We start from the raw sequence: 22,748 nt of genomic DNA, 5'->3' as shown, positions 1-22,748 counted from the left end.
ACTCTTTTTCAAACAGGGATCCTTCTGAAAATAGTTTTTCTCACAAGATATTGTGTATATTTTTGCAAGGCATTCAGTTTAGTATTCATAAGAATTTGATAGTGTTATAATGATAATAATGCATCATAAAGGCAGATTAAAATGCATTTAGCCAAACCTCTCATTGGACATCTAGGTTGTTTCCACATTATAAATAATGCTGCAATTCATAATTTTTTTAATTAAAAATAATTCTTTTTAGAGACAGGGTCTCACTCTGTCCCCAGGCTGGAGTGTGTCTATTCACAGGTACAATGACAGCTCACTGCAGCCTTGAACTCCCGGGCCCAAGTGATCCTCCTGCCTTGGCCTCCCAAAGTACTGGGAATACAGGAGTGAGCCACCATGCCTGGCCACTTTTTACTTATTTCTGAATATTTCCTAGAAGCAAAATCACTGGTCAAATGCCATGAGTGTGTTCAATGCAGAGTTCATTTCTGAACATGACTATCAATTTGCTGGTAGTACTTATGTTAGACTGTAGTGAACCATGCTATCTCTTTCCTACTTCCTCATTTCCATTCTTGTAAGTCAAAAGGAAACCTTACAACAAGGATCAACAGCAACCTTTCAGAAAAAGCATACACGTTTTTTGTTGTTGATTTTTTTTTTCTTTAACACCTTCAGGTATGGGTTAGCAGTCACCCTCTGTTTACCCTTACAAACCGCTTTGGGCACTCAGTGTTTTTTAAACAAAGAGGCCTGGTAACTTGGATGGTAAGGCTGTCTGTCCCAACCGGTCCAGCTCCTCACTGGCAGAGGGACTTCTGCATTTCCAGCCTGTGATTTTAGTTAGAGGCAAATCCAAGGTGGGGAGCCTCACTCAGGTGAGGAAGATATTTGTCAGGTCTGCTAGGATTTCTCTCCCAGGCTTCAGAAATTTGCAAGCATCTTTGCATTTCCTGGCATTCTCTGGCCTGGAATGCTGTTTTTTGTCTTGGGCCTCCCTGGCAGAGCAAGGCAGTCCCCTTTTCTGTCTTCAGAGCCTTTCTCTGGGCTTGGGACAGGCCCACTGTGTTGGCACAAGCTTCATTTGGTCTGCTGGGGAGCTTGGCTGCAGGCTCTGGGTGCTCGGCATCTCCCCTGGCTGCTCCTTTCTGTCCTATTCAATCAGCCTCAGCACCTGCACTTGTCAGTTAGGCCTGATGTTACCCTGGATGGGAAATGGAACTTCTTTACTGTTGCTCTAATTCCATGTTTCACAAACCGCAGGGCCTATGGATGGATTGGGAAGTAAATTTAAAATGTGAAGGAAAAAAAAATCGGAGTCCATCGCAACAATGGTAGGTATTGTTTCATTAAACTTTTTTCAGATTTTATATATGCAAACTGTAAGGGTCCTATTCAAAGACCTTGAAAGCCAAGAATGTGAACTGTGCATTTCAAACGTATGTCAGTATTCCTATGGGGCTGTGATGCATATTTAGGTGGGGAAATGTGATACCGTTTTTATTTTATTAGCTAGGCTAATAACCGCAAGATCATATGGCTTTAGTGGAGAAAACACAAGGCTTTGGACTCAGAACTGGGTCAATATTGTTGCTAACTAGCTGTGTGACCTTGGACAATTCAACGAATCTCTCTGAGCCTCCCTTAGTATTGCCTGTAAAAGACAGATAAGCATCCTGGCCTTATAGGATTACTGTTAGGATTAAACAAAATCTTTTTTTTTTTTTTTTGAGACAGAATCTCGCTCTTTTGCCCAGGCTGGAGCACAGTGGTATGATCTTGGCTCTCTCTAACCTTCGCCTCCTGGGTTCAAGTGATTCTCGTGCCTCAACCTCCCTAGTATCTGGGATCACAGGCACACGCCACCACACTCAGCTAATACTTTTGTACTTTTAGTAGAGCTGGGGTTTTGCCATGTTGGCCAGGCTGGTCTTGAACTCCTGGGCTCAAGTGATCCACCCACCTCTGCCTCCCAAAATGCTGGGATTACAAGCGTGAGCCATCACACCAGCCATAAACAAAATACTCTATGTATAGTGCTTAGCACATGGGAGACACATGCTAAATAAAGCTTGTTGTCTAGTCTTTTGTCTGGGCCATAAGACATCCTCTCTTGGCAGCACAGCCACTCTCTTCCTCATCTCAAGAGTACATGCTGGCTGGGCGCGATGGCTCAGGCCTGTAATCCCAGCACTTTGGGAGGCTGAGGTGGGCAGAACACTTGAGGTCAGGAGTTCGAGACCAGTCTGGCCAACATGGTGAAACCCCATCTCTACTGAAAATACAAAAAATTAGCTGAGTGTGGTGGCTTGCGCCTGTAATCCCACTACTCGGGAGGCTGAGCTTGAGCCTGAGAGGCTGAGGTCGCAATGAGGCTGCACTCCAGCCTGGGCAAAAGAGTAAGACTCTGTCTCAAAATAAAAAAACTGAGAGAGAGTACATGCTACCTGTGTCTCAAAAAAAAAAAAAAAAAAAAAGTACATGCCACCTGCGATATCACAACAGTTCTGTTTCTCAGTTTCCCACTCTATGGTTTGTATGATGACAATAAGTGTTTCCTATAAAAAGAATCTCTGATCAAGAAAATTTCAGAATTACAGTTTACAATCATATGAAATGCTTAGGCCCCAACTCAAATGTCTGCAGGGGCCAGGGAGGTGATATGATTGGGTGAAAAGTCAGGCTAACCACTTAGGGAATGGCGGGGACTGTGGTAAACTTGAGAACCCTGACCTCTTTGAGGGAGGCAGTTACTCTTCATTCCAACCATCCTCCCCATGTGGAAATGTGAACCCAACCTTATCAGATCTCTCACTTTTCAAAAGAAGCCAAATATCTGGATTTTTTATTGTGAAGATTTCTACTGTTTTCTGGGTTTTGTTTGTTTGTTTAGAGACAGGGTCTCTCTCTGTTGCCCAGGCTGGATGGAGTGTGATGGCAGGATCATAGCTCACTGCAGCCTCAAACTCCCGGGCTCAAACAATCCTCCTATCTCAGCCTTCTGAGTGAGTAGGTGGAACTACAGGTGAGCGCCACCACCACACCCAGGGAATTTTTTTTTTTTTTTTTTAGAGATGGTCTCAAACCGGGCACATTGGCTCACACTTGTAATCCCAGCACTTTGGGAGGCTGAGACAGGCAGATCACTTGAGCCCAGGAGTTCAAGACCAGCCCAGGCAACATGGAGAGACCCCCATCTCTACAAAAAATACAAAAACATAATTAACCAGGCATGATGGTGTGCACCTGTAGTCCCAGCTACTTGGGGTGGGGTGAAGGGAGGGGAGAGGTGGGAGGAGACTGCAGTGAGCCGAGGTCACGCCACTGCACTCCAGCCTAGGTGAGACCCTATCTCAAAAAAAAAAAAAAAGAGAGAGAGAGAGACAGTGAGCTGAAGTCGCATCACTGCACTCCAGCCTAGGCGAGACCCTGTCTCAAAAAAAAAAAAAAAAAAAAAGAGAGAGAGAGAGAGAGAGACAGTGAGCCAAGGTTGCACCACTGCACTCCAGCCTAGGCGACAGAGCGAGACTGTCTCAAAAAAAAAAAAAAAGAGAGAGAGAGAGAGAGAGCTGAGGTCGCATCACTGCACTCCAGCCTAAGGGAGACCCTGTCTCAAAAAAAAAAAAAAAAAAAAAACAAAAAAAGAAAAGAAAAAAAAAAGAGAAAGAGAGTGAGCCAAGGTTGCACCATTGCACTCCAGCCTAGGCGAAAGAGCAAGACCCTGTCTCAAAAAAAAAAAAACAAAAAAAGAGAGAGAGAGAGTGCCAAGGTTGCACCATTGCACTCCAGCTTAGGCGATAGAGCGAAACCATCTCAAAAAAAAAAAAAAAAAAAAAGGAGAGAGAGACCATCTCGCTCTGTCGCCCAGGCTGGAGTGCAGTGGTTCAATCACTGCTTACTGCATCCTTGAACTCCTCTTCTGCCTCGGCCTCCCAAAGTGCTAAGATTACAAGTGTGAGCCACCATACCTGCCCAATGTCTACCTTTTTAAAACACCGCTTTGACCGAATGAAACGTCTGTGGGTCAGATAAGGCCAGAGAGGGGCCAGTTTACGCTGTCAGTCCTAACCCTTCATGGCTGGGCATACTCATTACGGTCACCCCCGGCTCTCCAGAAAAGCCTCCCACGGTATCCCTATAAAAGCGCTTGTTTAAAATTACTATAATATTTTGCAGCAAAAATATACTTTAAGCACAGAATATGTAACTCCAATAATAGATGAAAATTCTACCTAATGAAGAGGACCATCTTTTTCACAAGGTGTTAAACACCATGAACAGCAGGAAAGAAATAGGCAAAGTTGGCGAGGGAGTGTTCCATTGTTCCTGTCTTTAGTTAACCAAAACCACTCGTAAGACATTTATTGCTTTTTAAAAAATAGCTTTATCAAAATATGATTCATACACCATGTAATTTACCCACTTACAGTGTACAATTCAATGGTTTTGGGCATATTTACCAGGTCATGCTGCCATTACTATAATCTAATCTGCAACATTTTTGTACCCCTAAAAGAAACTCCATACCCATTAGCAGGCACTCTCTTTTTCCCCAAACCCTGGCAGCCACTAATCTACTTCCCTGTCTATAATATTTCCTGTTCTGGATATTTTATATAAATGGAATCATACAATATGTGGCCTTCTTATGTCTGGGCTCTTTCACTTAGCATAATGTCAAATATATATGTATGTGTATGGATATACCACATTCGATTTATCCACTCATCAGTTGATGGGCATTTGGGTGTTTTCCACTTTTTGACTGTTACAAATGCTGCTGCTATGAAGATTCATGTACAAGTGTGTGTGGACATGTTTTTGTTTCTTTTGGGTATATACCTAGGAGTGGAATTGCTGGGTCAACTGCTATCTATCTGTGTTTAACCTTTTGAGGAACTGTCAGCTTGTTTTCCAAAACACCTGCCCGTTTACATTTCCACAAGTGTGCATAAGGGTTCCAGTTTCTTTCTCCACATGCTCACCCATGCTTGCTACTGTCTATCTCCTTGATTATAGCCATCTGCGTGGGTGTGTGATAAGCATTTATTCTGAAGGTGTAAGGCAGTTTTAATAGAGCAGCTGAATTTGATGTTTGATGTGATTATTGAGATCAAGACCTAATATAGGGATCTTTTCTGAACTTAGATCACCTTTCTGTAAGAACTTTTACTATTGCGTTTTCCACTCGTCATGTGTACCATTCTTTGACTAACCAGAGGACAGGCCTCTTAAGGAAAGGTCTGATATTTTCCCCTTACTAACCAGTAAAATCATCCAATTCTAGAGAACTTATTGATATAAATTAGCTTTGGTACAATTTTCTGTGCCATAGCATTGATGGCTATCATCAATGCTGCCCACGGAGAAGCTGCTGATTTCCCCCCGGAAAACTCGGGCTGAGGCAGGAGGTACTTAAGCAGCTGGGGAAGAGGTTCTCCTTCTCCATACATGAACACATATAGCACCATCTCCCTCTCTTTCGCCTCTGGTCTTTCTTCTTGCCTCTCCATTTAGTCATGAAACATCCTTTCAAGTTAGACTAAGGTAGTGACAGCCCTAAGGAAATGTTGAGGAAACTGAGCATAGACCTCGGTGACTATGAGAGGTCCGTGCATAGTGAATTGAGGGGATTGGATGTCAGTATCCTTGCTTCTAGTCTGGAGTTCACAAACCTGTGCTCTCTTCTTTTCCTAAATGCCTCATTCCTTTATTTTCACTGCCCTAAAAAAAAAAAAAAAAGTTTTCAGTATGTGTGATCCTTAGTATGGTTGTATGGTTATATGGTTGACCTCATCAGACATTTTGGGTTAGCGTTTCCTCTCCTTTTCCGAAACTGGCCTGTTTTGCAAAGCAGACAAGAGAATTCATATAGCTTGACTTTAGGACTCATTGCATTGGGAGAGATCAATATTTTCAACCAATGAAAAACTTACAGCTCCCAGTCTGCATTTTTGTTGTTGTTGTTGTTTTCTGTATTGTTTTGTTTTGTTTTGAAATGGAGTCTTTCTCTGTAGCCCAGGCTGGAGTGCAGTGGCACCATCTCAGCTCACTGCAACCTCTGTCTCCCAGGTTCAAGCGATTCTCATGCCTCAGCCTCCGGAGTAGCTGGGAGTACAGGTGTGCGCCACCATGCCTGGCTAAGTTTTGTATTTTTAGTAGAGATGCGGTTTCAACATGTTGGCCAGGCTGGTCTCAAACCCCTGACCTTAAGTTATCCGCCTGCCTCGGCCTCCCAAAGTGCTGGGATTACCAGTGTGAGCCACTGTGCCTGGCCTTGCATGTCGTATTTTTTTTACGTCAGAGTTTTTTATTTGTATCTTTGTTTTGAGACAGAGTCTCACTCTGTGGCACTCTGGTGTAGTCTCCATTCACTGCAACTTCCGCCCCCTGGGTTCAAGTGATTCTCGTGCTTCAGCCTCCCAGGTAGCTGGGACTACAGGCATGCGCCATCACACCCGGACTCATTTTGGTCTTTTTAGTAGAGACAGGGTTTTGCCGTGTTGGCCAGGCTGGTCTTGAACTCCTGGCCTCAAGTGATCCACCCACTTCTGCCTCCCAAAGTAGTGGGATTACAGGCATAAGCCACCACACCTGGTCACCTTTTAAGTTTTAAAAGCCCATTGGTGGCCAGCCGCGGTGGCTCACGCCTGTAATCCCAGCACTCTGGGAGGCCTTAGGCGGGCGGATCACCTGAGGTCAGGAGTTCAAGACCAGCCTGGCCATGGTGAAACCCCATCTCTACTAAAATTACAAAAAATTAGCCAGGCGTGGTGGTGCGTGCCTGTAATCCCAGCTACTCTGGAGGCTGAGGCAGGAGAATCGCTTGAACCCGGGAGGTGGACGTTGCAGTGAGCCGAGATGGTGCCACTGCACTCCAGCCTGGGCAACAAGAGTGAAACTCCATCTCAAAAAAAAAAAAAAAAAAAAAAAAAAAAAAAGGCCGGGCACGGTGGCTCATGCCTGTAATCCCAGCACTTTGGGAGGCGGAGGCGGGTGGATCACCTGATGTTAGGAGTTCGAGACCAGCCTGGCTAACATGGTGAAATCCCGTCTCTACTAAAAATACAAAAAAAAAAAATTAGCCAGGTGTGGTGGCCCATGCCTATAATCTCTGCTACTTGGGAGGCTGAGGCAGGAGAATCACTTGAACCTGGGAGACAGAGGTTGCAGTGAGCCGAGATCGCGCCACTGCACTCCAGCATAGGCAACAAGAGTGAAACCCCGTCTCAAAAACAAAAAACAAAAAACAAAAAAACAAAAAAACCAACCATTGGTTTGGTTGAACATGGGAGACAAACATTAAATTAAAGATAAAATAAAATAGGCCAGGCGCGCTGGCTCACACCTGTAATTCCAGCACTTTGGGAGGCCAAGGCAGGTGGATCACGAGGTCAGGAGTTCAAGACCGGCCTGTCCAATATAATGAAACCCTGTCTCTACTAAAAATACAAAAATTAGCCATGGCGCGTGCCTGTAGTCCCAGCTACTCAGGAGTCTGAGGCAGAAGAACTGCTTGAACCTGGGAGGTGGAGGTCGCAGTGAGCTGAGACCACACCACTGCACTCCAACCTGGGCAATAGAGCAAGCCTCTGTCTCAAAAAATTAATTAATTAATTAAATATAAATAAATAAATAAATAAATAAGTCTGGGCATGGTGGCTCACACCTGTAATCCCAGCACTTTGGAAGGCTGAGGCGGGTGGATCACCTAAGGTCAGGGGTTCAAGACCAGCCTGGCCAACATGGTGAAACCCCGTCTCTACTAAAAATACAAAAATTAGTTGGGCATGGTGGCACACGCCTGTGATCCTAGCTACTTGGGAGGCTGAGGCAGGAGAATCACTTGAACCCAGGAGGCAGAGGTTGCAGTGAGCCAAGATCGCGCCACCGCCCTCCAACCTGGACGACTGAGTGAGACTCCGTCTCAAAAAAAAAATAAAATAAAACAATAAAAAGCCAATTGGTAACAATCTTTGGGCAGACAATCTTGCAGTTTTCTGTGATAAAGTCTAATTTGGCTTGCCATAGTTCACTGTATCCACCAAGGAATAATCTTGGCCTAATTGGAAACTGGTAAATGCTTAGACTATATGTGTTTCTCTACATTTGAGATCCCCTCTCACCCTCCAACTGTGCCTCTCCCTTTTTAAGTTACGTCAATGAGATGTAATTGGCACCTATCCTCAATCTTAGTATCCTAACATTCGCTTCTTATTCTATTTTCCTGCCTTTTGATTTAGAAAGACCTAAATGCTTTTAGATCTAAAGATAGAAGAGGAAGGTTAAAACAATAATTTGCAATACGTACTCCTTCAGCTATTAATTCATTTATGCAACGGGCTTTATTTAATGCCTGCTGTATGCCAAGTACTCTGCTAGGTGCTTGGGATTCAAAGATAGGGGCTGGGCTCAGTTTCTCATGCCTGTAATCCCAACATTTTGGGAGGCCAAGGAGTTTGAGACCAGCCTGAGCAACATGGAGAGACCCTGCCTCTACAAAAAAAAAAATAGCCAGCACCAGGCACGGTGGTTCATGCCTGTCATCCCAGCACTTTGGGAGGCCAAGGTAGGAGGATCACTTGAGCCCATGAGTTTGAGACCAGCCTGGGCAACATGGAGAGACCTTGTCTCTACAAAAAATAAAAATAAAAATAAATTAGCTGGGGCTGGGCACAGTGGCTCATGCCTGTAATCCCAGCACTTTGGGAGGCCAAGGCGGGCGGATCACAAGGTCAAGAGATGGAGACCATCCTGGCCAACATGGTGAAACCCCGTCTCCACTAAAAATACAAAAATAAGCTGGGCGTGGTGGCACGCGCCTGTAGTCACAGCTGTTCGGGAGGCTGAGGCAGGGGAATCACTTAAACCAAGGACGCAGAGGTTGCAGTGATCCAAGATTGTGCCACTGCACTCCAGCCTGGTGACAGAGGGAGACTCCGTCTCAAATAAATAAATAAATAGGCCGGGCGTGGTGGCACTCACCTGTAGTCCTGGCTTCCCAGGAAGCTGAGGTGGGAGGATGGCTTCAGTCCCAGAAAGTCAAGGCTGCAGTGAGCCGTGATCATGCCACTGCACTGCACTCCAGCCTGGGCAATACAGCCATAACCTGTCTTAGAAAAAAAAAAACAAAAAATACAGAGTTCTTGCCTTTAAGGTGTACAGTGCAGTGGGACAAGCAGATACAACTGGAGAACCACAATTGTGATTGCAGTAATTAATATACACAATATTACAGGATTACAGAAAAGAGGTACGTCCCCTATCCTAGAGGGGATGGAGGAAGGGCATAAAGTACATTAATGACGATCTGTAATTCAGTTGTTTAAATTGAGCATGGGAGAGGGTGTTCAGGCCTCTTCGACTGGATGACTTTGTAATTTGGGATAAAACACCCAATAACTTGGCCGGGTACCAGGGCTCATGCCTGTAATCTTAGCACTTTGGGAGGCTGAGGCGGGCAGATCACTTGAGGTCAGGAGTTCAAGACCAGCCTGACCAACATGGTGAAACCGTCTCTATCAAAAATTCAAAATTACCCAGGCATGGTGGTGCATGCCTGTAGTCCCAGCTACTCGGGAGGCTGAGGCACGAGAATTGCTTGAACCCGGGAGGTGGAGGTTGCAGTGAGCTGAGATCGTGCCATTCCACTCCAGCCTGGGCAACAGAGCAAGACCCTGTCTCATAAAAACAAAAACAACAACAACAAAAACCCAATAACTGTAAAGTAAAATATGTCAACTTGTGACTAAGGATTCATGTGGAAGAAGAAAAGCGTCTAATATCATAAAGGAACATCAAGATTGTGGGGTTAGAGCTAGAAGATGTTGGTTTTATTTTAAAATTTCTGTCTTTTTTATGTTCTTCCCTGCCTATATCACAGAAAATCAAATATAAGAAATGAATTGCCTGCAAGTGGTGGTTTTTAAACTCTTCTCTCTGATATAGTCTCTGTTAAACTTGGGAATAAATAAAGGTACCATCACCAGACTAGGGGAAGATTAGCATTGTTTGAGGTTAGGATTTAAAAAAAACAAAACAAGGCCGGGTGCAGTGGCTCATGCCTGTAATCCCAGCACTTTGGGAGGCCAAGGTGGGCGGATCACCTGAGGTCAAGAGTTCAAGACCAGCCTGACCAACATGGTGAAACCCCGTCTCTACTAAAAATAAAAAATTAGCCGGGCATGGTGGCGCATGCCTGTATTCCCAGCTACTCGGGAGGCTGAGGCAGAAGAATCGATTGAACCAGGAGGTGTAGGTTGCAGTGAGCCGAGATTGCACCGCTGCACTCCAGCCTGGGCAGTAAGAGCAAAACTCTGTCTCAAACAACAACAATAACAACAACAACAAAAAATTCACTAGATTTGCAATCACTGCCTTCATATAAGATTAAAATATGAAGAAAAACTCAAGGTTAACTGCACTTGAGGTTTTCTAAATTATGGGATTGAAGGGGTCTATATAATTTTAAACATTAAAAAAAGTTTAATCTTTACAACCCTGTGGTCCCCTCCATTTTATAGCTGAGAGAATTGAAGCATGGAGGTTTAAAAACATGCCCAAGATCATACAGCTAGTAAGTAGCAGAGCTGGGATTTGCACCCAAGTCTATTCAATTCCAGTGCCTATTACTCACCATATCATCCTGTCAAAATAGAAACCTTGTGTGGGCCCATTGCTCTCAAGATGTCCTGTGGCCATAAATGCACCCTGGCAGGAGCAAGCTGGTATAGACAACCAGTAAAGTGTATGGCCGTGCCAGTACAAAGCCAACACTGCTCCTGGAAAATATTGATAGTGCCATATTCAACTAATCGTCAAATTTTAATATCATCGATGCCACTGAAAGTATCTTAATCATTCTCATGAATATTTTGTAATATGAGACATTGAGAAGATAAGACAGTATTGAAATAAATATCTAGATTTAAAAAATATAAAATTTGAATGATTAGTAGAGGGAAGCAGAGGATAGTAAATATGTGTGAAAATAATAACATAAAAGTTAACTTTAGATATATTATCTTTAAACACTGCATGTGCAGTATACCAATTTATATCCTCTTTAATATTATAGTCTTTTTCATGTGCATGTGTGATATATTGTCCATTCACCAAGACTATAATCCCTGAGTCCGATAGTGTATTTTCTTTTAAAAAGAAATCAACATTAAAACAGGAAAGATTATCTAAGCTTACTCTCAAGTAGTTTAATACATTTGAGGAAATAAATTAGGTTATGGATGCTTATAAGCGATATAAAAAATCAAATTAACACGATGTAGGTGATTTATTCCAAATTTGATCTGTTACATTTGGAGGAATTGGTTGTTGGATTTAGAAGTGTACAAAATACCATTAGAGAGTGAAAAAAAAGGGAAGTCTGTTATAACTGAATAGGGGCGTGGTCTGCTCAGGCTAAAAGGAATAGATAGTAGTTTCATAAAGGACTGATATAACTGTAGAGTCTTCAGAACTGGCCACTACAGCCAGCACATTTTCTCTACAGACGTAAGTATGTCTATTAATACCAGCCAGCTTGGTGAGTTAGAGAAACCACAGCCTGTGGATTTGGGCACATGCACTCTCTGCCTGCATCTAATCCTTCGGGTAACCATATACCTACAACTCCTGTAATCCTAGAGCAGTTACATGGATGCACTAAGTGGTGTGATGGGAGGGAAAGATAGCATCACAAGGATTCGTTTGATTGTAACAGTAATCCACACCAAGTCAAATAAAATAGCCAAACAGTTTAGAATGTGGTCTCTAATGAATTTGCTAATTCTACCAGGGCCTCACAAACATTTCCTGCTAGAGTACCCCATATCAAACCAAGTGGCTGTTCTTTAATTACATGGAATAATTATTTGATTTCCAGGAAGTTAAGACAGTGCTTTGTATTTAAATAAAAAGTTCTAGACATGCTGTGAAACTCGATCAAACCAAGAAAAAGGGTGAAACTGAATGCCTGCTCACTGACTCAAGATTTCAGCTGCTCAGCGAGCCTGACGTGACGGCTTATGAGCCCAGAAAAGGGGTATTTTAAACCCGGCTGGCTGGATCATGTCACTTTCTTATAGAAGCCCTGCCTTTCCAGAGACCTAAAGTGTAACGCAATCAGAGACCTTTGAGGGGCTCGAGGCTCGGCGGCTTCCGCCCCTCAGCACCAGCAGAGACCCCAGTTTTCAGGGGACATGATCCCATAGTGTCGCCCTCACTTTTGAAGGGCCATTAAAAGCCTGGGGCCTCTTATCTCAACGGCTTTGGGCGTGAATGTGGGGCAAGAAGGGGGGGGGAGACCTGTGGGTGTCTCTTTTGCCTGAGGAGTTGGAGACACTTGTGGAAAAGTCAGGCCCTTTTCGCTCCGGCGGCCGCTCCGGTGTGGGGCTGGCTTGGGTTAGACACATGCACACATACACCATAGAGCTCTGCTTTCCCGTAGCAGCTGCTGCCTCTGCCTCTGCCTCTCCCGCCTCAGCCTCTTTGCCCGGCATACACACACATTCAGATTTGCGCGCTGTTTCAATCCTTGATGACGTGTCCCCGGAGACAGCCAATAGCAAACGGGCTCTGGTCAGGACAATGGGAGGTATCGGGCCAATGAGCGAGCCCCGTGAGTTGGCGGTAGCCAATAGGAGCCGCGCTGGCTGGAGAGTAATGTTACAGAGCGGAGAGAGTGAGGAGGCTGCGTCTGGCTCCCGCTCTCACAGCCATTGCAGTACATTGAGCTCCATAGAGACAGCACCGGGGCAAGTGAGAGCCGGACGGGCACTGGGCGACTCTGTGCCTCGCTGAGGGTGAGTCTGGGGCAGCGCCGCGGCGGGGAGAGCGCCTCCGGCAGCTCCCCAGCCCGCGCGGCGGCCGGATCCCCGCGGCCGGGAGCCGGCGGGTCAGGATCCACACAAAGGCAAATGAGGGGGGACCGTGGGGGGAACTGCGCACGGAGCGAGCCTCTGCCCGGGCGCCGGGAACGCTGCCCCGCGCCGGTGCCCCGGCCCTCAGGCAGCCTGAGGCGCCGGGAGCCCCGCGCCCCGCGAGTTTCCACCCCCGGCGGCGTCCGCGCTGACTGGCGCAAAAAAAAAAATTTTTTTTTTAATTAAAAAAATTTTGAACGTGTTTTGGGCCCTCGGGCCGGGCGTTCGGGCGGGCGGCGTGCGCGGAGCGCGGCCGGGGCGGCGGGGCCGGCGCGGCTCGGCGGCGGCGGCGGGAGGGCAGCGGCGGCGCTTCCCCGGGCTGCATTGGCCGCCGCCGCAGCGAGCCGGGCGCTGGCGGGGAGCGCGGCCAGCCGGGCGGGCGGCGGGGCGGGCGGGGCGCCGCGGCGGGCGAGGGCGGCGCGGGGGCCTGGGGGCGGCAGTGCGGGCCCGGCCGGCCTCGGCCCGGTCGCGGCGGCGGCGGCGGCCGGGCGGCGGGGGGAGCGGCGCCGCTGCGCTCGCTGGAACATGGCTGACTCGGGCCCGGCGCTGCTGGCTGGAGAGAAAACAAGGCGGGCGGGCGGGGGAGCTGGGCGCAGCAGTTCCGAGGCAACTTTTTTTTTCCTCTCTCTTTTCACAGCCCCGCGTTCTCCGTGCGGGGGCGGCGGGGCGCGCGGCCCGCGCGGAGGGAGACGGGGAGTGGCGGGCGGGTGGGCCCTCGGGCGGCCCCCACCGCGGCGGGGGGAGGGGAGCGGCGCGGAGGGGAGGGCCCGGCCGCGCGCCCCCCGCCCCTCCCCCGGCCGTAATGGCCGAGTGTGTGCGCCAGAGCGCGGCTCGCACCCCGCCCGCCGCCGCCGCCGCGCCCGCACCCTCGCACTCACACACTCTCTCATACACACACACACACACACACACACACAAAGGGAAGGAGCCATATTCTCGCTCGCGCTCGCCCTCGCGGCGGCGGCGGCGCAGGCGGAGAAGACGCGCAGCGGCCATTCCGTGCGCGCCGGCCCCGGCGGCCGCGGGCGGAGCCAGCCCCCATTTCGAGCGGGGCTTCTCCCTGCGCCGAGCCTGACAAAATGGGGGCGGCGGCGGCGCGGGCCTGCAGGGCCTGCCGGGCGCACGTGGCGGCCTCGGGCCTGGGAGCCGGGCCGCGTCCTCTCTCCTCGGCCGCGCGGCCACCGGCGAAGTTCTAGGGGCGGGGGGCTCGCCCCGCGCAGGAGTCACCCCAACTTTCACGGCTCCAAAAAATACTTCCCGAGTTGGGGGAGGGGGCCACCGAGCCACGAGCAGGAGTGGCTTTTGTCCCTCATCCTTGTTTACTCGGAGAAACTTCAGACCGGACGTGTTTAGTCAGAACAGAAATACATCTCAGGGCCAAACCGATAGGAAACGAGGCTGCCTCGCGGTGGCACCGCCACCCCCCAACCGGGTTCCGAGCACCGGAGCTGGCTGCTGCTCCCTCTTTGGAGCAAAGTTTTATGCAAAGAGGGTGTTTTTTGAAACTTTCGGTGCACGGTGATTTTTTTTTTTTAAGGTCCCATAATTAGGAAGAGTCGACTCGCTTAGGCCCTTGTTTATTCCCTATCTAGTGCAAAGCCACGAATTGGCAGCATGTTTTCTGACCTTTGGTTTGGTTGGTTTAAAATGGTGTTCTAGATTTTAAAATCGTTTAAGTGACCAGTTAGATACTCATTCAGAGCAGACTCGGGCGGATAGATAGGGAATACTGTATGGGTATATCTTTGTGTCTAGACTTTTTGAGATCGCCCTGAAGGACTGTTTTTGTTTTGTTTTGTTTGCTTGGCATAGCCCCTTCAAGGAATTTAATCTCTCGGCCATATTCTTGTCTGATTTTACGGAGGTTGATGTCGCTACTGTGTTAAATAACCAGTACTTTGGTTTTCATTCCCTTACTAAGTACTTTAAGGTCTTATATGTCATAATTTTATTGCTAACATCAAATATTTATTTTATTTTTTAGAAAAATAACTAAACATGGGCAAAGGAGATCCTAAGAAGCCGAGAGGCAAAATGTCATCATATGCATTTTTTGTGCAAACTTGTCGGGAGGAGCATAAGAAGAAGCACCCAGATGCTTCAGTCAACTTCTCAGAGTTTTCTAAGAAGTGCTCAGAGAGGTGGAAGGTAAGAGGGCTTAAAACATGCTAACAAGGTAATTAAAAGACAGTTTCCAATTGAGGATGCAAAAAAAAGCCTAGTTGGCATTCTCGTAGTGGGACGCTATTACATAGCAAAAGACATTGGTTTTGAGGATAATTTACTTAAATGTTACAACTTAAACTTACAAATAATTATTTTGTAGACCATGTCTGCTAAAGAGAAAGGAAAATTTGAAGATATGGCAAAAGCGGACAAGGCCCGTTATGAAAGAGAAATGAAAACCTATATCCCTCCCAAAGGGGAGACAAAAAAGAAGTTCAAGGATCCCAATGCACCCAAGAGGCCTCCGTGAGTATCTTGCCTGTTTTTACTTCCCAGACACGTTTTACAGTAGAATCTGAGAGAAATTTAGCAAGCTACTTTGTCAGTTTAGAGTGTAAATGTACAATCAAAGTTTCTTAGCTAATACTTGTTCATATTGGTTATATTTAAATAGTATAAAATTCCTGTTGGGTGGGAGTGTTCCCAGAGCATTTGAATTAGACATTTGGTCTCCTTTGCCCAGTGTATCTCCTTTTGATCTTTTTATTTCTTGAAAAATACTATCCCTTTGAAATAGTGTAATTGTAGAATGTTCATCTAGGGTTCTAGCTAGTATAAATTAAATAGTTGTAAATTAAGCTTTGGTTGTGAAGGATATTTAGTATATTATAGTATTTGCACCCTGTCCAATGCATCACAGAAATTCACAGGCAGCTTTAAATAGCAATGCAGTGTACACTTGATAGTATTTGTTTTTGTGATCTGTTAACTTAAAATCCTAAAATTAATTTTTTTTTTAGTTCGGCCTTCTTCCTCTTCTGCTCTGAGTATCGCCCAAAAATCAAAGGAGAACATCCTGGCCTGTCCATTGGTGATGTTGCGAAGAAACTGGGAGAGATGTGGAATAACACTGCTGCAGATGACAAGCAGCCTTATGAAAAGAAGGCTGCGAAGCTGAAGGAAAAATATGAAAAGGTAAGAAGTGTGGGTTTGCTTGGTAAAATGATGACAAGTACGCCAGATGTATGATTGTACTTAGTTTGAGGTGTAATAAGTTTTTAGGGTAACAGCTACATTAAGTATGGTGTTGATATAAGTCCTCATCCTTCAAAGAATGCAGAGGACCAAATAAATTAGGGTTTTTTTGACTAAAATGTAATCAGACTCAGACAAAGGCTGTGTACATTTATGTTGGTTTTGTTATTCCCCAGTATCTTGAAGTTCATGAAAATGTTGGTAGTCACTTCAAGTCAAAAATGAGCATTTTCAAATGGCTTGGCATACAGTACAAAAACAGGCTAGACAAAGTAATATAGGCTATATTTTTCTTAGTCATATCCTGAAACATTTATGTTCTTTTCCTTTAGATACTCAAAAAACCACAGCATCACTAAGTTAAATTACAAGTCTGCTGCTCTGTCCAGTAAATTAATAAGATTAAGGAAATCTATAACTCTTATAGTTCAGTAAATTGAAATATTAAATACTTAATTTTCAGCTTTAGTCATTCTGAAAAGTGTTTATTTCTAGATGTTTCTTAACCTAATTGCATGTTTATTGACAAATTACCTTTTTTTTTTAAGACCACATTTCCTACTAAGGATTAAGGTCTGACAGTGTAAACCTGTAGAGTGCTTTTTTGCATTCAGAAGGTGGCAGTGTCTACCCTTTAATCAAAGTCTCTACATTCTGGTTTTAATAGAGTTAGGATGTGGTACATAATTGCACCTCAATGAGGCATAACTTTGCAAATATTAGACTATGCCATTTCATGAGTTATAGATTGTTATAATGATCTTGTATTTTTATGTTCATTTATTGAAGTTCTAGTTATTTCTGGAGTTGCTGTGGATCTACAGATACGTGATATTTTGGTATAACTAGAATCTTGATTTCTTTCATAAAGTTCTGCCATGTTCTATTTCTTTCCTTAATGTTTTTTTCTTCCCTACTGTTTTATCCTCCCTTTGCTTTGGAAGGATATTGCTGCATATCGAGCTAAAGGAAAGCCTGATGCAGCAAAAAAGGGAGTTGTCAAGGCTGAAAAAAGCAAGAAAAAGAAGGAAGAGGAGGAAGATGAGGAAGATGAAGAGGATGAGGAGGAGGAGGAAGATGAAGAAGATGAAGATGAAGAAGAAGATGATGATGATGAATAAGTTGGTTCTAGCGCAGTTTTTTTTTTCTTGTCTATAAAGCATTTAACCCCCCTGTACACAACTCACTCCTTTTAAAGAAAAAAATTGAAATGTAAGGCTGTGTAAGATTTGTTTTTAAACTGTACAGTGTCTTTTTTTGTATAGTTAACACACTACCGAATGTGTCTTTAGATAGCCCTGTCCTGGTGGTATTTTCAATAGCCACTAACCTTGCCTGGTACAGTATGGGGGTTGTAAATTGGCATGGAAATTTAAAGCAGGTTCTTGTTGGTGCACAGCACAAATTAGTTATATATGGGGATGGTAGTTTTTTCATCTTCAGTTGTCTCTGATGCAGCTTATACGAAATAATTGTTGTTCTGTTAACTGAATACCACTCTGTAATTGCAAAAAAAAAAAAAAAGTTGCAGCTGTTTTGTTGACATTCTGAATGCTTCTAAGTAAATACAATTTTTTTTATTAGTATTGTTGTCCTTTTCATAGGTCTGAAATTTTTCTTCTTGAGGGGAAGCTAGTCTTTTGCTTTTGCCCATTTTGAATCACATGAATTATTACAGTGTTTATCCTTTCATATAGTTAGCTAATAAAAAGCTTTTGTCTACACACCCTGCATATCATAATGGGGGTAAAGTTAAGTTGAGATAGTTTTCATCCATAACTGAACATCCAAAATCTTGATCAGTTAAGAAATTTCACATAGCCCACTTACATTTACAAACTGAAGAGTAATCAATCTACTCAAAGCATGGGATTATTAGAATCAAACATTTTGAAAGTCTGTCCTTGAAGGACTAATAGAAAAGTATGTTCTAACCTTTACATGAGGACTCTATTCTTTAACTCCCATTACCATGTAATGGCAGTTATATTTTGCAGTTCCCACATTAAAGAAGACCTGAGAATGTATCCCCAAAAGCGTGAGCTTAAAATACAAGACTGCCATATTAAATTTTTTGTTGACATTAGTCTCAGTGAAGACTATGAAAATGCTGGCTATAGATGTCTTTTCCCATTTATCTAAATATGGACTGCTCAGGAAACGAGACTTTCCATTACAAGTATTTTTAATTAATTGGGCCAGCTTTTCAAACAAAGATGCCACATTCAAAATAGGGTATATTTTCCTATATTACGGTTTGCCCCTTTATAAATCCAAGTAGATAGGAAGAAAGAAGACAAACTTTGCATCTCAGTATGAATTATTCAATTTATTTGAATGATTTTTCTTTACAAAACAAACTCATTCATTAGTCATGTTTATCTGCTTAGGAGTTTAGGGAACAATTTGGCAATTTTGTGGTTTTCGAGATTATCGTTTTCTTAAAGTGCCAGTATTTTAAAATAGCGTTCTTGTAATTTTACACGCTTTTGTGATGGAGTGCTGTTTTGTTATATAATTTAGACTTGGATTCTTTCCATTTGCATTTGTTTATGTAATTTCAGGAGGAATACTGAACATCTGAGTCCTGGATGATACTAATAAACTAATAATTGCAGAGGTTTTAAATACTAGTTAAATGGCTTTCACTTAAGAACTTAAGATTTTGTTACATATTTTTAAATCTTGTTTCTAATAATACCTCTTAGCAGTACCTTTTAAATAAGTATAAGGGATGGCAAAGTTTTTCCCTTTAAAAATACTCACTTTATGCTTATAAATAGGTTAATGGGCTGATAAAAGGTTTTGTCAAACATTGCAAGTATTCGGTGCTATATATAAAGGAGGAAAAACTAGTTTTACTTTCAGAATGATTTAAACAAGATTTTTAAAAACAAGATACATGCAAGCGAACAGCAGGGTTAGTGATAGGCTGCAATTGTGTCGAACATCAGATTTTTTGTTAAGAGGAGCAAATGACTCAATCTGATTTAGATGGAAGTTTCTACTGTATAGAAATCACCATTAATCACCAACATTAATAATTCTGATCCATTTAAAATGAATTCTGGCTCAAGGAGAATTTGTAACTTTAGTAGGTACGTCATGACAACTACCATTTTTTTAAGATGTTGAGAATGGGAACAGTTTTTTTAGGGTTTATTCTTGACCACAGATCTTAAGAAAATGGACAAAACCCCTCTTCAATCTGAAGATTAGTATGGTTTGGTGTTCTAACAGTATCCCCTAGAAGTTGGATGTCTAAAACTCAAGTAAATGGAAGTGGGAGGCAATTTAGATAAGTGTAAAGCCTTGTAACTGAAGATGATTTTTTTTAGAAAGTGTATAGAAACTATTTTAATGCCAAGATAGTTACAGTGCTGTGGGGTTTAAAGACTTTGTTGACATCAAGAAAAGACTAAATCTATAATTAATTGGGCCAACTTTTAAAATGAAGATGCTTTTTAAAACTAATGAACTAAGATGTATAAATCTTAGTTTTTTTGTATTTTAAAGATAGGCATATGGCATATTGATTAACGAGTCAAATTTCCTAACTTTGCTGTGCAAAGGTTGAGAGCTATTGCTGATTAGTTACCACAGTTCTGATGATCGTCCCATCACAGTGTTGTTAATGTTTGCTGTATTTATTAATTTTCTTAAAGTGAAATCTGAAAAATGAAATTTGTGTGTCCTGTGTACCCGAGGGGTAATGATTAAATGATAAAGATAAGAAAAGCGCCCATGTAACACAAACTGCCATTCAACAGGTATTTCCCTTACTACCTAAGGAATTGTAACCATTGCTCAGACATTGTAGGATTTAACTATGTTGAAAACTACAGGAGAGGCCGGGCGCAGTGGCTCACGCCTGTAATCCCAGCACTTTGGGAGGCCAAGGCGGGCAGATCACGAGGTCAGGAGATTGAGACCATCCTGGCTAACGTGGTGAAACCCCGCCTCTACTAAAAATACAAAAAATTAGCCAAGCGTGGTGCTGGGCGCCTGTAGTCCCAGTAACTCAGGAGGCTGAGGCAGGAGAATGGCGTGAACCCGGGAGGCGGAGGTTGCAGTGAGCCGAGATTGTGCCACTGCACTCCAGCCTGGGTGACAGAGCAAGACTCCATCTCAAAAAAAAAAAAAAAACACAGGAGAGACAACTGGTTTTTGAATGAAATACATGGGTACTGCCTTGCTTGACATCACATAGTCCTTGATGAAAGTTCACATTTAGGTCTGCTTGGTACAATACGCCTCCTAAAAAGGTCCTTGATGAAAGTTCACATTTAGGTCTGCTTGGTACAACACGCCTCCTGAAAGGGTCTGATAGCTTTCAGTAGCAGTAAGACACTTGCATGTGATGGTAAGGTATCTGCAAATTTGCACACACCGTACACAGCTTAAGTCTTAGAATTAACTTGCTAAAATGTGAGCCTTTGGTAATTAGGCTGTTTTATTAGGGAGTGTGATAATATTTGAATTTCTTTTCATATTTGTGCTTTGTGTCATTTTCAAATGACCCTTGAAATGTATTTTAAAAGTAGATAAAAGCCAGAAAGTGATTTGATTGTCTATCCAGCAAAAGATGGTGGTTCATTTTCTTGTCCTCTTAATACCAAGGCAGTGCTAATAACACTTGCCACAACTTGGGAAATTCCATGGGTCTATGCCACATTGCTCCCAGAGTAATGAGGCAAAATAGTGCTCTGTTATAGAATTGCTTGTTTCACGATACATCATGACAGATAACCATACAACATGGAATGACACAAACATAATATGCCACACTCCAGAATATGTAATGCTCGTCTTCCAGGGGGGTTCAGTCTAAGGTAATCTCTACCAGGAAGAAATGCTAGATGACTTTAGACATGTGCATTGGTTTGGACCTTCTAATTAGTGGAATTTTTACTTATTTTGACATGAGAGATTACATAGAATCTCTATGTTGCCCAGGTTGGTCTCCAAATCTGCTCAAACAATCCTCCCGCCTCAGTTTCTCAAGTAGCTGGGATTACAGGGACACACCACTGTGCTTAGCTTAAATAGTTGAATTTATTGGGCATCCACTGAAAAGAAGGAAGTAGGAATAAAATCTGCAATAGTATGACTAAACCTGTAAGTGAGCATGAGCAGTGGTGGGCAAGGGTATGCAGACTCTGGAATCCAGAAATAGAAAGTCAGTGGAAAGCCAGGCACAGTGGCTCACACTTATAATCCCAGCACTTTGGGAGGCCGAGGTGGGAGGATCACTTGAGGCCAGGAGTTTGACACTAGCCTGGGCAACATAGTGAGGCCTTGTCTACTAGAAATAAATAATTTTGCAGATATACTAAATACCATTTTAAAAATAAGTGGAAAAGGGATTAGAGAGATCCTTGTAAATTATGTACTCATATTCATTGTTCTCTTTAGTCACATAATTCAGTCATGTACGTGACATTCCACAGTATGGTGCTCCATAATACATATTTTTTCTTTTTTCGATCTCACTTGTATATGATCCATAATATTTTTCATCATTCCCTTACTGATGGACATTTAGATTGTTTCCTATTTTTTGCTGTTTAACAGTACTGCGCTGAACATCTGTACATTTCTCTCAGGCATGTGTGGGTCTTCAGATACCTCAAAAGTAGAACTGCTGAGTCAAAAGACATTTGCATTTAACATTTTGGAAGATGTTGATAAATTGCACCCCACCACCCCCCCCCCCCGCCCACAAAAGCTGTTATTTATGCTGTGAAACATTTTAACAATGATTTTGCAATTAATCAAGATTTTTACTGGTTTTTCTTTGGCTGTATAACTCTATTTTTAAAAACGAGAAATTAAAATACTGAAATACTGTCATTTGTCCAGAGCTACCTGACCAGAATAAGAAACACAGAGAGAATCAACTGAAAGACTCTTAGGACAAGCCACTGCTTTATTTAAACTGCTAAACTATTTCTCAAACTCCTGGCCTCAAACTATCCTCCCTCCCTCCTCGGCCTTGTTGCTGAGATTACAGGCGTGAGAACCACAGTTCCTGGCCTAAACTGCTAAACTATTTCTCTAAAGTTACTGCAGTAACTAAATAAGTAATCCACTGTGTGAAAATGAGGAGGTTCTTTCTCATTTTGATATACTCTGTCCTAAATGGAAGTATGTGGTAGTTTTTTGGTTGGTTTGTTTTATTCTGGGGAGGGTCTTTTCTAGCAGAGATTCTATGTCAATCTTACAGAAGCTGCAGCCAACAGTTTTGGAAATGCAAGTTGTTCAATAAGGTGTAGCAAAAGGAGAAATGTGTGGCCCAGATACTAGCCTTTAGGAGACAAGTGTTTGGAAAGGCAGAATGGATTCTGAGGATTTGCCTTAAATGGAATAAAGTTCACCAGTTCCTTGCTGGAGATGATACTTTATGGCAAAGGACATACTCCAAATGTGCTTATAAATGAAATTGTATTTATATGCTCAAAGTGAAATTAAGCTGGCCGGGCGCAGTGGCTCACGCCTGTAATCCCAGCACTTTGGGAGGCTGAGGCGGGCGGATCATGAGGTCAGGAGATTGAGACCATCCTAGCTAATACGGTGAAACCCCCTCTCTACTAAAAATACAAACAAATTTTCCGGGCGTGGTGGCGGGCGCCTGTAGTCCCA

General features: G+C 43.6%; 1 protein-coding gene across 10 annotated transcripts in view, besides 4 other annotated features; it reads left to right on the top strand.

The window, feature by feature from the left end:
• HMGB1 (high mobility group box 1) overlaps window positions 1–21,880 on the top strand; it is a 160,894-nt gene extending 139,014 nt beyond the window's left edge. The window contains exons 1-6 of one of the 10 annotated variants that reach the window (NM_001363661.2): window positions 12,648–12,788; window positions 14,890–15,053; window positions 15,232–15,377; window positions 15,872–16,046; window positions 16,896–16,945; window positions 17,051–21,880. In NM_001363661.2, the coding sequence (NP_001350590.1) occupies window positions 14,904–15,053; window positions 15,232–15,377; window positions 15,872–16,046; window positions 16,896–16,901 (477 nt within the window). In that variant the 5' untranslated portion in view covers window positions 12,648–12,788; window positions 14,890–14,903 and the 3' untranslated portion in view covers window positions 16,902–16,945; window positions 17,051–21,880. 10 annotated transcript variants of the gene reach the window in all.
• Window positions 11,689–12,464: an enhancer, noted in NCBI's record as "H3K27ac hESC enhancer chr13:31040257-31041032 (GRCh37/hg19 assembly coordinates)". NCBI's record gives its function as "activates a minimal SCP1, AML or CMV promoter by ChIP-STARR-seq in naive H9 embryonic stem cells {active_cell/tissue: H9 hESC(naive)}" and the evidence as "EXISTENCE:reporter gene assay evidence [ECO:0000049][PMID:30033119]".
• Window positions 12,465–13,240: an enhancer, noted in NCBI's record as "H3K27ac hESC enhancer chr13:31039481-31040256 (GRCh37/hg19 assembly coordinates)". NCBI's record gives its function as "activates a minimal SCP1, AML or CMV promoter by ChIP-STARR-seq in naive H9 embryonic stem cells {active_cell/tissue: H9 hESC(naive)}" and the evidence as "EXISTENCE:reporter gene assay evidence [ECO:0000049][PMID:30033119]".
• Window positions 12,676–12,985: a silencer, noted in NCBI's record as "silent region_5234". NCBI's record gives its function as "represses an Ori minimal core promoter by ATAC-STARR-seq in GM12878 lymphoblastoid cells {active_cell/tissue: GM12878}" and the evidence as "EXISTENCE:reporter gene assay evidence [ECO:0000049][PMID:35858748]".
• Window positions 13,585–14,224: a silencer, noted in NCBI's record as "silent region_5233". NCBI's record gives its function as "represses an Ori minimal core promoter by ATAC-STARR-seq in GM12878 lymphoblastoid cells {active_cell/tissue: GM12878}" and the evidence as "EXISTENCE:reporter gene assay evidence [ECO:0000049][PMID:35858748]".
• Window positions 21,881–22,748: the final 868 nt, after the last annotated feature.

The sequence above is a fragment of the Homo sapiens genome, chromosome 13 (genome assembly GCF_000001405.40).
Source record: "Homo sapiens chromosome 13, GRCh38.p14 Primary Assembly".
NCBI lineage: Eukaryota > Metazoa > Chordata > Mammalia > Primates > Hominidae > Homo > Homo sapiens.
This window is presented reverse-complemented; position numbering and strand designations above follow the sequence as displayed.